The 12333-nt window shown below is 33.6% G+C and overlaps 1 protein-coding gene across 5 annotated transcripts in view; it reads right to left on the bottom strand.

The window, feature by feature from the left end:
- Window positions 1-12333, bottom strand: part of DCC (DCC netrin 1 receptor) — a 1195703-nt gene that overhangs the window by 106619 nt on the left and 1076751 nt on the right. The window lies entirely within an intron of this gene.

The raw sequence follows: 12333 nt of genomic DNA, 5'->3' as shown, positions 1-12333 counted from the left end.
TGGTCTCTTGCAGAGACCATCTTCTAAAGTAGGAAAAACGTTTACAAATACTGCATTATTTTTTGCAAGCACCAAAGTAAAGGCAGTACACTTTGCCAGGCCAACAAGTAAAAGCAGTATACTTCGCCAGACCAACCGATATATATATATTTATATATATATAAAATATATATATTATATATAAAATATATATTATATAAAATATATATTATATATAAAATATATAATATATTATATATAAAATATATATTATATAAAAAATATATAAAATATATATTATATAAAAAATATATAAAATATATATATGTTATATATAAAATATAATATGTTATATATAATTTATTATATATAAAATATATAATATATAATTTATTATATATAAAATATATAATATATAATTTATTATATATAAAATATATAATATATAATTTATTATATATAAAATATATAATATATAATTTATTATATATAAAATATATAATATATAATTTATTATATATAAAATATATAATATATAATTTATTATATATAAAATATATAGTATATAATATAATATATATAAATATATATAATATATAAAATATACATTATATATAAAAATATATATTATATAAAATATACATTATATATAAAAATATATATTATATAAAATATACATTATATATAAAAATATATATGAATTATATATAAAAATATATATTTTATATATATAAATATATATATAAATATATTTATATATATATAAAATACATAAATATATAAAATATATAAAATATACAATATAAATATATAAAAAATATATATTATATATTATATAATATATATAAAATAATATAATATATTATATATGTAATATATTATATTATATATGTAATATATTATATTATATTATATACAATATATTATAATATTATATTATATACAACATATATTATATTATATACAATATATTATATTATATTATATATTATATTCTATATATTATTATATTCTATATAATTTATTATATTCTATATAATATATTATTAAATATATAATTAATTATATATATAATTATAATTATATATACTTATATATAATATTATATATTCTATATTATATATTACATATTATATATTATTATATTATATATTATATATTATTATATTATATTATATATTATATATTATTATATTATATTATATATTATATATTATTATAATATATTATATGATATATGACACATTATTATAATATATTATTATATGATATATTCTATATTATTATAGTATTATATTATATATTATTATAATATATTATATTATATTATATATTATATTATTATATTATATATTATAATATATTATATTATATTATATATTATATTATTATATATTATATATAATTTATTATATTATATATGTATATATTTATATATTATATATAAAAAGAAATATATATATTATATATCATATATTAATATATTATATATATTTCTGTTTTTAGAAGCACATTGGTTACTCCTCTGAATTCTACTATTTCTCATTCTTACATTCTTGATGTCTCATAAGGGAGAGTGGACAAAAACTGAAAAGGCAAATATTAGGGAACCAAAGGAGCTGGACAGATCAAGATCTTTTGTTAACAGGAAAGTAGTTAACCTCCTTCTTAAAGATTTCAGGTGAGAAAAGATGATAAGTTCTAACCTATGTGACAATAACTACACTTGACTATCTCCCTTGCCCGGCTGCTGATAACTTGTCAGCTGCTCCTGATCACCCTTGTCACAACCTTCCACACAGCTAAAGCCCAATATGTTTATTAGTTATTATAATTATTATTCATGCAAGTTAGGAATGAAACAACTGAATAACAATTGAATTCTTAATAGAATAAAACATAAAGATGGCTTCATAATATCAGTAGTATGGTGGTAGATGGTGGTCTCTGAAGTCCTTCCTGTCATTGGAATCTCCTTTTATGCACACTTGCCTCTAGTATATCTGAAGTAACAGTCATCCTAGGGGTCTAAGAAACCACTTTTATATGCAGCTTAGTCTTTATTAAAATCTAAAAAGCATTCTGTTCCTCCAAATATGGGCACTGCCTTGGATGACTAGATATTTCCAAGAGCTAGTTCATTTGCCAGGCTACAACATAAAGAATGAGACAATCTTTTTTGGCTTATAAAAGAGCATCTGTTCTCAAAGGCCACGGAATGATCCATAAAAGCCTCCCCCATCTGCGTGGTTCACAAGCTTATCCTAAAGGCAGGTGTGAGATATGTTTGTGCCTGAGCAAATTTGCCAAGCATCCCGGGAAGAAGAGGCAGAAGAGGATGAGAGAGTTCTCTCCTCCAAGTGACTATAGATCTGGAAGTTGCAGCTGCAGTCTGAAAACACTAGAACATGAGCACCCTGCTGGTGCCCTGCTAGTCTGTGTAGATAACGACACTGTTGGAGCACAGTATTTCATCATTTATGTCTCCATCCGTGCTTCATCCATCCACTCAACAAATGCATTAAGTAGATTCACAGTGCTAAGCATTAGGAATATAAAATGACTATTGCAGAAGTTTGTAAGTCAGTGAGACGGAAAATGTTAAGTGAATACTTACAACCATATGGTAATTTCCAAAAATTCAAAAAAAAGAAAACAAACAAACACGTGACCCAGTGGAAAAACAGGATGATTATCTACTTATGCCTAGCAAAAGGTTTCTCAGAGGAGGTGGCATGTGAGGTGAGAATTCTTTTTGCAAGCACCAAAGTAAAAGCAGTATACTTTGCCAGGCCAACCAGTGGGGGAAAATATACATATATAAAAATATATATAATAAATATATATTACATAAATATATAAATAATATAAATATATAAATATATATCATAAAAATATATATCATAAATATATATGATATATAACATAGTATAAATATATATCATAAAATATATTATAAATATATATCATAAAATTTATAAATATATAATATATATTATAAATATATATTATAAATATGTAATATATAAATATATATGTATTTATATATAAATATATAAATACACAGACACATACATATATATTTTAAGAAACACATTGGTTACTCCTGTGAATTCTAGTACTTCTCATTCCCACATTCTTGATGTCTCACAAGGGAGAGTGGACAAAAACTGAAAAGGCAAAAATTAGGGAACCAAAGGAGCTGGACAGATAAAGATCTGTCTTGATTTATTAGGTAGAGAACCGTGAGGTGGATGAGCTTAGAAAAAAAAGGCAGAGGTACAATAATAAAACTCCCTAAATGCTCTGCAAAATGGTCTAGAATTTATTTTATAGAGGATAGGGATCCACTGAAGATATTTTAAGCAAAACTCTGACTAATTACACATATATTTTAGAAAGATTATTCTGGATGACTGTGGAACTAAATGGATCAGAATAAACTGTTCCAATAAATATGGCAATATTAATTATGCATCTCTGAGGCAGACATTACTAACCCCATTTTATAGCTGAGAAAACTATAGCTCAGAAAGATGAATAAACACAGGGTTTCATTTGAAGTGGCTGATACTGTATGACTCTGATGATGATGATTTTAGCATTATAGGTGAATAAATAACTAAAAGAAGGAATAGGGGGCCAGGAGCAGTGGCTCATTCCTGTAATCCCAGCACTTTGGGAGGCCGAGGCGGGCAGGTCACCTGAGGTCAGGAGTTCGAGACCAACCTGGCCAACATGGTGAAACCCCACCGCTACTAAAAATACAAGATTTAGCCGGGCATAGTGGGGCAGGGGACTGTAATCCCATCTACTCGGGAGGCTGGGGCAGGAGAATCGCTTGAACCCAGGAGGCAGAGATTGCAGTGAGCCAAGATCATGCCACTGCACTCCAGCCCGGGTGAGAGAGTGAGACTCTGTCTCAAAAAAAAAAAAAAAAAAAAGAGAGGAGAAACGGGGAAAATTGTGGACAGAAATTAGAGCACTTCAAAGAGTTGGTCTTGGGGTGTAAGAGTGAGAGTTTAGGTATGTATGACTTGAGATGGTGGCTCTATTCTCAATTGAACATGCAGAACAAAACAAGGCTGTGGCAGAGAATGAAAAATAGTTTCCTTGTAACCATGCAGAGTACTGGAAAAAGTGAAGTTGCCACTTCAGAAAAGGTACAACAGAAGTGGTTAAAAAGAAAAAAAAAAGGCCAAGAAAATTCTTTGAAGATGACTGCTACTGAGGCCCCATTCCTACTCCCATCCCATCATCCTTTTCTCTCCCTATCCCACAGTCACACCCCTCCAAGCAGGAAATGATCAATATCAGCAACCAAGAGTGGATGGGTTTCCAGGGCTCGGGATACAAGGGAGCAGGCAGGCCTTCACTGGCCAGTGTAGACAATAGCTAGCTGATATGTTGAAAAGTAGGAAAGCCCCAGAACTACTACATTAGAGCAGAGAGAAATAGCAAAAGCCTCTTCACCAACATAGGTCTCTGCCATAAGGTACTACTCTGCAAAGGTAGGCATGAGATATGTTTGTGCCTGAGCAAATTATATCCTAAATGTTCCTGGAGCCCATCCTGTAGTCCTCACTATTTTCCCAGCATCTTGGCTTCCTAACTTTTCCATCCTAGAATTTCTCTACATAAGGGATCAGCTACTCTTCCCCCGGTAATAGTTTGCATTGAGTCTAGTTCTACTCATATATTTAAAGCCCAGTCTTAGGTTTTAAGAAGTCTTTTCTAATCCAGCCCACAATGATTTATCTGAAATCCCGTAACATACACATGTAGACAGTACCATCTGATTTGGCATTTTGTATTTTTCATACTGGACTGGAAGTGTTAATATCCTCCTCCTAACTATATTGCAAGCTTCTTGAAAATGGACCCACGGAACCATACTTCCTTCTAATGCTTTGCCAGGACCATTTCCTTCTAATGTTTCTAGTGCCAGCACAGTACTGGATACATAGTAATCCACAAGTTATCAAAAGTGAGTCTAGTTCTTTTCATACTTCATAGCCACAATTTTAACAAACTTATCAGCTTCCATTAGTTTTGATTTTCTCCTTTCTGTACTCAGAATTCCAAGCAGCTGGTGAAATTCAAATCTATAAATTTTCTGCTAACAAGGAAGGACAGCAAGACTGGAGGTCACAAAATGAGTGCAGGAGGTCGTAGCCATCTACAAATGTAACTACCATCAGCTGAATTACAGAGAACTTGTTTTTCTATTTAGCATTTATTTTAGTAGGTGATTATTGAATATACTTTTTCCTGTTGGAAATATATGCATAACTTCTCGTCTCCCCCAAGATCAGTAAATCTCCAATATACACAGCCATGTGCACTATTACTTTGAGCTGTCCAATCTACACTTTTCATTCAATGGTAAAACTTATCTTTCCAGATTACTCTGTAGCTGCTTCCCCAAACATTTGTGTTATGATTCTATTAAACAAACACTTATCAGACAACTAAAATAGGATAAATTCTAAATTAGGGAGGTAGGGATGACAATGTGAAGAATCTAGCCAGTTCTCTGTTCTTGGGAATTTAAAATCTGGTCAAGAAGCTAAGAATATAAATAGCAAAGTATAAGAAGAAATGGAAAACACAATAAAAATAGGATGGGTGTTATGAAAATACAGGTGAATAAAAGACAAGAAAGGTAAGAAAGGATTCTTGAAAAAAGTAAAATTGAGAAGGGAGTCTCAAAGAAGACTTTGCTTAGTTGAGAAAGAGAGAAAGCACAGCTAAGGCTGAGAAAATGGTACACATTACAGCATGTAGTTGTGAAAAATGCACTTTTTCCAGGGTGATTTGTGATTGTGGCATATGTGGAGGGATCTATTGGCCATGACACCAGGAAAGAGACGTTACAGTCAGATAGCCAAGGTTCTTGATGTCAAAGAACTGACTCATCCCCAAAGCAACAGTGACCCATCTGTTTTGGAAAGAAAATTGAAGCGGCAGAATCTAGGGCTGATTGAAGTGGGCAGAAAATAAAGCTAGGAAGACCGTGTACTTGGCCAATATCTGTACAAGGAAATGGCATCCAAAATACAGTGGCTCTTACAAGAAGAACCTGTTTATGGAATTTTATTTGAAGTGTATAAACAAAAATGTCTACCTTACAGGTGTGAGAAGGTTAAAATTATCCCATGAATCACATCAATTCCTATGAGTACTGAGTACGTTTTTGTTCCTTCAGAGTTACCTATTAAAACATGAAAACTGCTGAGAAGTTGACATAGGCAGCTACTTGACTGCTTGCTGGGAACATGATAAGCACCTTAACACTCCATTAAAAGCACATTATTCATTTTCTGCTACTACTGTTTCACCACAGTCCTAATTTACAGAATTGAACCTGTGAAAAACCCAGGTGAGAATAGCTTTTTCAAGTGGGTGTAGCAAGCAGCCGAATAATAAACTGTGTTGAAACTATGCACAATAATAGGGTAAGAAGAGGTTTTAATTTTCAATTAAACAGCTCCCATCAGAAGGCACTAAAGGTTTCCATTTTTCAAACGGCAGTCTGGCTGCTGTAATCCAAACCCTGCAAAGTCTGGATTACATTAACTAAATTCCAAGCTTGACTAGACTGCCTCAAAAACCCTATTTCCCTGAAATTTGAAACAATTAACATTCTGTTTATTCATGAGATTAAAACTGCTGAGGTGTAAAATGGCAGGTGCAGTGTTAAGTACTTTGCCTGAATACCCTATTAAGGAAAGACAAAGTCCTTTAAACTAGGTGAACTTATGGTGATGCCATTTAGGTATAACTTTCTTGATGACAGATCATGAGTCTGCATTTCCAGAAATTACACAACGTCAAGAGCAGAGATTCTCCAGTTAGGTAGCCTGGGTATGTATCTGGGCCTAATCACTGTCAACCTAAAATAAAGATACATAGAGGTGAATCTCTGAGCGAAGAAGGTATTTGAGAATATGAATTGCAATTCAGGACACCCAAACCAAGGTAGCCCCAGGTGAGTCTAGAGAATAAAGGGAAAGGCGGAGTTTTATTGTGGAATAGAGGAAGGTTATGCAAGTTGTTTTGAAAGTAAGTTAATTGGTGCTGGTAGTGTCTTCCAGGAGCTGCTGAGTGTCAGCAGGTGTTAAGTAAGATGTGGAATCTTAGAATCATGACCAGGTCCTTGAAGTTTTGGGTTTAGTCTCACAAGACAGTTCCTGGAATAAATGTATGTGATCTGAGTGCTTTTCCTTATAACCTCCTGACTCCATTTTAGTTGGGTATGACATGAGTGACTCCATTTTGTATAATCAACTTTCACACCACTTACATACTGTGAGTGTTTGGGCAAGTTTTAACCTCTCTGTCTCTTTTTCTACATCTGTAAGGGTGCTATAAGAATCAAATAGGATTGCATGTGCACAATGCATAGAAGAGTAATTGACACATAGTGGAAAAGCCATAAATGTGAGATGCTTCACTATGCAAAGATGTTATGCCTGAGTTTTTATTCTAATACCAACCTTAAAACTTCAGAATCTTAAATCTTGAAAGAAACCAAAAGATAATTTAGTCTGAACTTATCATTTTACAGGTGAGGATGTTGAGAGATGTTAAGTCACCTGCCCAACATTACACAAGAGGTCCCAGTGGCAGGACTGTGCTAGAACTGAAAGTATCTAATTCCATTCCAGTGCTCCTATAGCACACACTGAGTGACTTCCAAATGAAAAGCTAGACCATTATCAGCCATTACCACAATTCACAGGAGAGTAATTCTTCCTCCTTGTTGGGCGGGCAGTTTACAGCAGGCTGTCTTTATCTGGATCTGTAAACTGCCCTATGTACGTAGGCCTCTTCTCTAGGTCTAGTGTTTCAGATCACCCCTTTTCCAGGTCATGGAGAATTAAATACACTTGAGAGTGCTCAAAGTGAGCATTTTCTTTGTAATTCATCTCAGCAATGGTGAAAATCACTTCATGAGAATCCTGCCCACTTTAAGGTACTGTATCATCGCCATAGCACCTATTGTTACAATGAGCAGACGTAGAAACACACATGAAAGAGTAAACATTTCTGCTCATGCTAAGAATATCGATTTTCATACAAAGACATCTCAAAGTGGAGAACAATATTTGGACATTAAATGGGACATAACGATGCAAACAAAAATACCTTAAAAGTTTGATCTAATAATCACTTTTAAGAAGCAGTCATGTTTCAGAGTTACAGCTAACCTCCATTGCAAACTCAAAACAAAGGGATTTTCTAAAATGCTTCTGTGAGACACTAAAATGTTGGAGCTGATTTTAGAAGAATGGAAATCAAATGTTTAAATATAGTAACCATTTACAGTAGAAAGACTGCACACTCTAGGAACCAGAAAGAAAAGTTTTGAGTTCTAACTCTGCCAACAGCTAATTCTGTGATCCTGGGTAAAATGTTTACCTTCTGCTTCTGAAAAACTGGGAAAAAATTAGTGAAGGAGTGAAATAACAGCTTTCTTTTTAAATGTGGATGCTATGGACTGAATTGCTTCCCCAAAAATGTGTATATTGAATCTCTAACCCCCAATATGATTATATTTGAATATAGGGCCTTTATGGAAGTAATTAAATCATAAGGTTAAATGAAATCATAGGGTAGGGCCCCAATCCAATAGGATTAGTGTCCTCTGAAGAGGAGACACCAGAGAGGTCACTCTCCACCACGGGAAGACACAGCGAGAAGGCCACCTGCAAGCCAGGAAGAGGACCCTCACCAGAAACTGACCACACTGAACCTTGATCTGGGACTTCCAGCTTCCAGAGCTCTGAGAATATAACTTTCTGTTGTTTAACCCACCCAGTATATAGCGTTTTGTATTGACAACCCAAGCTGGCTTAGACAGTGAATTATCACCATCCCTGTTTCCTGAAATAAAGAAGTGTCAGGATCATGTAATCAGCGCTGTTGCCACCCCACTAACAAGATGACCTCAGATTGAGAGTTATTTCCCTTGTTCTTTAGAATATTCAGAGATGTGAAAAGGAAGATCTATATAGGACAAATAACAGCAAACAAAACTTCAGTTAAAGCAACTTTATAGCTATACGTCGAATGTGAATGTGTGGCTATATACATGTAACATATCTGTTGTCATGCAGTTGATGGTTAAAATCAGGGCTTTTGGGTGGGGCATGGTGGCTTACTCCTGGAATCCCAGCACTTTAAGAGGCCAAGACAGGCGGATCACAAGGTCAGGAGGATTGAGACCATCCTGGCCAACATGGTGAAATCCTGTCTCTACTAAAAAGACAAAAAAATTAGCCAGGTGTGGTGGCACGCACTTGTAATCCCAGTTACTCAGGAGGCTGAGGCAGGAGAATCGCTTGAACCTGGGAGGCAGAGGTTGCAGTGAGCCAAGATTGTGCCATTGCACTCCAGCCTGGGTAATAGAGTGAGATTCTGTGTCAAAAAATTAAAAAAAATAAATAAAAATAGAATAATTAAAAAAAAAAGGCTTTTGGAATGTGGTTTCTGGGGTTGGATTTATGGCCTTTCTACTTACTAGCTGTGTTTCAATAGACAAATAACATCTCTCTGAGCTTCACTTTCTTCCTTGCTAAAATGGAGACAATACCTTTCTCACAGTATTGTTACGAGAATTAAGTGAGTCACTCCTGTAAAGCTTTTAAAACAGTGACTGCTGGCAAGAGCTGCATAGCGGTTCATTTTACCATTACATAGGCCCACAACAGCACAGACAAATTGAAGGAGTTTTAATCAGAATATAGAAAAAAAGGGAAAAAATCAAAAGTCAAAACAAAAATCAAAACAATTATTGAATTCATCGATGTAGAGAATAGAAGGATGGTGACCAGAGGCTGGGAATGGTAGTGGGGGGCTGGGGAGAGGGGAGGTGAAGATGATTAATGGGTATAAAAATATAGTTAGAAATAATGAGTAAGACCTACTATTTGATAGCACAACAGGGTAACTATAGTCAATAATATAATTGTACATTTTTAAATGAACAGTGTAATGGAATTGTTTGTAAGTCAACAGATAAATGCTTCAAGGGATGGATACCCCATTCTCCATGATGTGCTTATTTCACACTGTATGCTTGTATCAAAGCATCTCATGTACCCTACAAATATATACACCTACTATGTAGACACAAAAATTAAAAATAATTTTTAAAGCATAGATTTTCTATCTAACCTCTGCACCCGCTTCATAGAGCCTGTGCAATTTCCTTACCCAACCCTACAAAAAACGAAACTCTGGTTTATCTCTAAAATTTCTTTTACTTCCCAACTTATTTGCCACCTGTGCCTGGAAGAATCTACAGAAATAATTAGGATATGGAGCAAGAGATAGGGTGATGCAAAAAAGGAGAATTATAGAGGTGGTCAAGATTAGAAAGTTTTAAAAATGCTATATTTCATCAATTTACAATTACATAAAGAAATCAGGGGTTCTATGTTAATTGCCTATCATTGTCAAACAACTACTATACCATTGCTCAGAAGAAAATATTTTCTCCAAATCAAAACCATTTCAAATGACTATTGTTTTCACATTTATGTTCTTCATGGCAGATCTTCAATCCCTAAAATAATAATAATTGTGACAAGAATCTGAACAGATACTTTTTTTAGGACAATCAAAACTGGTCTCACTTTCTCTCATATAAGTCAAATTCAACCTCTTGCTTCTTTATTTAGGATTCATCTTTGCAAGGTTAATTCTGACCCCAGATGCCACATTTTTTTCTCTGAGGGAATTTTCTCTCAGCAGAAACTCAGCTCCTGTCATAAATGTAATAGTGGGATCATTTCTCCATGAGAAGGGGGCAAATAGGTCTAACAGTGGGAATGGTAAAACATATTCAACTAATTTGCTGTGTTCTGGGAATGGGAGTATTAAGATCAGCCTCTTCCTATTATTTTCATCAATCTTAGAGGGATCTTTAATCTGGGTTATTTCTCATGCATGTGGTCATCAACTCAGAAGACTGATTTTGTTTATAAAACGTGCTTTGAGGGTGCAGCAAATTTTATATGCTTTCTTTGTAAGAATTTGAAGATATTATTTATAACCACTAAATTATATGTCATCAGTCCCTCTCAATTTTATAAGTGAATTGAGTTTGATGTAAAATTTAGAACCTATCAACTTGATCAACTAACTACATGCCAACCATGACTGAATATGGCTCCAAGTTACATATGTGACAGAATCCTTCTGAGTAATATTAGATGAAGAAAAAGAACAACTGACTAAATATATTAATGGACTCAGCCACTGGCAGTAATTCTTGAGGGGGTCCTTTTGTTCCTGAGAACTAGCCTGATTTATTGTAGATGTGAGACTCAAAGTAAAATCCATGGAGGATGTGTGATCATAGGGACTGGGAAATAATTTACTCATTTGCCTTTCATAAAATAATCAATTTACAGAATATATGTGTGGTGGTTTAAAATAATATTATGCAAAACAGTTACCTTAAAAAACTAAAAGCAATTAACAAAAGAAAAAACAATATAATAGTACCCAGAGAGAAGTGGAAAGCCATTTATTGAGAAGCCTGGACATGTTTGTTGTCAACTAAGTGACTAATAATGACATTTCAACTAGTTCAGTTATTTTAATCTTTTTCTCTATTATTTTAAAATATAATTTCAAAACTTAGGAGTTATCTGTCTACGGAAGCTTCAAATTTATTTAAGTAAAGAAGGTTATGAGAGGTTGTTTCAATTGTTTTATAACTGCAATAATAAAGCTGGTGCTATTAACTATTCCAGATTTGGATTTGACCAAGACTAATATTTAAGTTACCTATGTAAATACATGCCAAGTGATAATTACTCATCATTAATATTTTTTACAAATCTCATTTAGTAGATATTAATTGTATGAAAACATTTTCAGTGGAAGCAAGTAGGAGCAGCTAGATTAATGAAAACCTTAACCCTGAGTAGCCATTGCTGTGCACAGTCCCATTTCAATTATTCCACGTAAACCCCTAGCCATGTTCTGTTAAGCAGCTGCATAGTATACATCGCCAGAGAAGAATGTAAACACAGGACCACTGAAGAAAATGCTACTCATGCAGGAAGCATTCTGCTGTCAGGGAGAGCCAGCATCCAGAGGCTTAGTATTTGTCAAAAGTTAAAAAGTATTCCTGTTGAAAGAAAGCATTCCCCTAATCTCACGACATGGTGCCTTATGAGACACGTTTGCAAGTAAGCACTGCCCACAGTAGGTGTCCAAAGCAGGAAGGAAACAAACTATATGAACTGCAGACTCTCAATCTACAAATACTGACAGCACTGACTACAACCAGTTTATAGTTTTTCCTAACTCTTCTGGAAAGAAAGTAACATCCTC

Source organism: Homo sapiens, chromosome 18, assembly GCF_000001405.40.
Source record: "Homo sapiens chromosome 18, GRCh38.p14 Primary Assembly".
NCBI classification, from domain to species: Eukaryota; Metazoa; Chordata; class Mammalia; order Primates; family Hominidae; genus Homo; species Homo sapiens.
The sequence above is the reverse complement of the archived record's forward strand: the minus strand, read 5'-3'. Positions and strand labels throughout refer to the sequence as shown.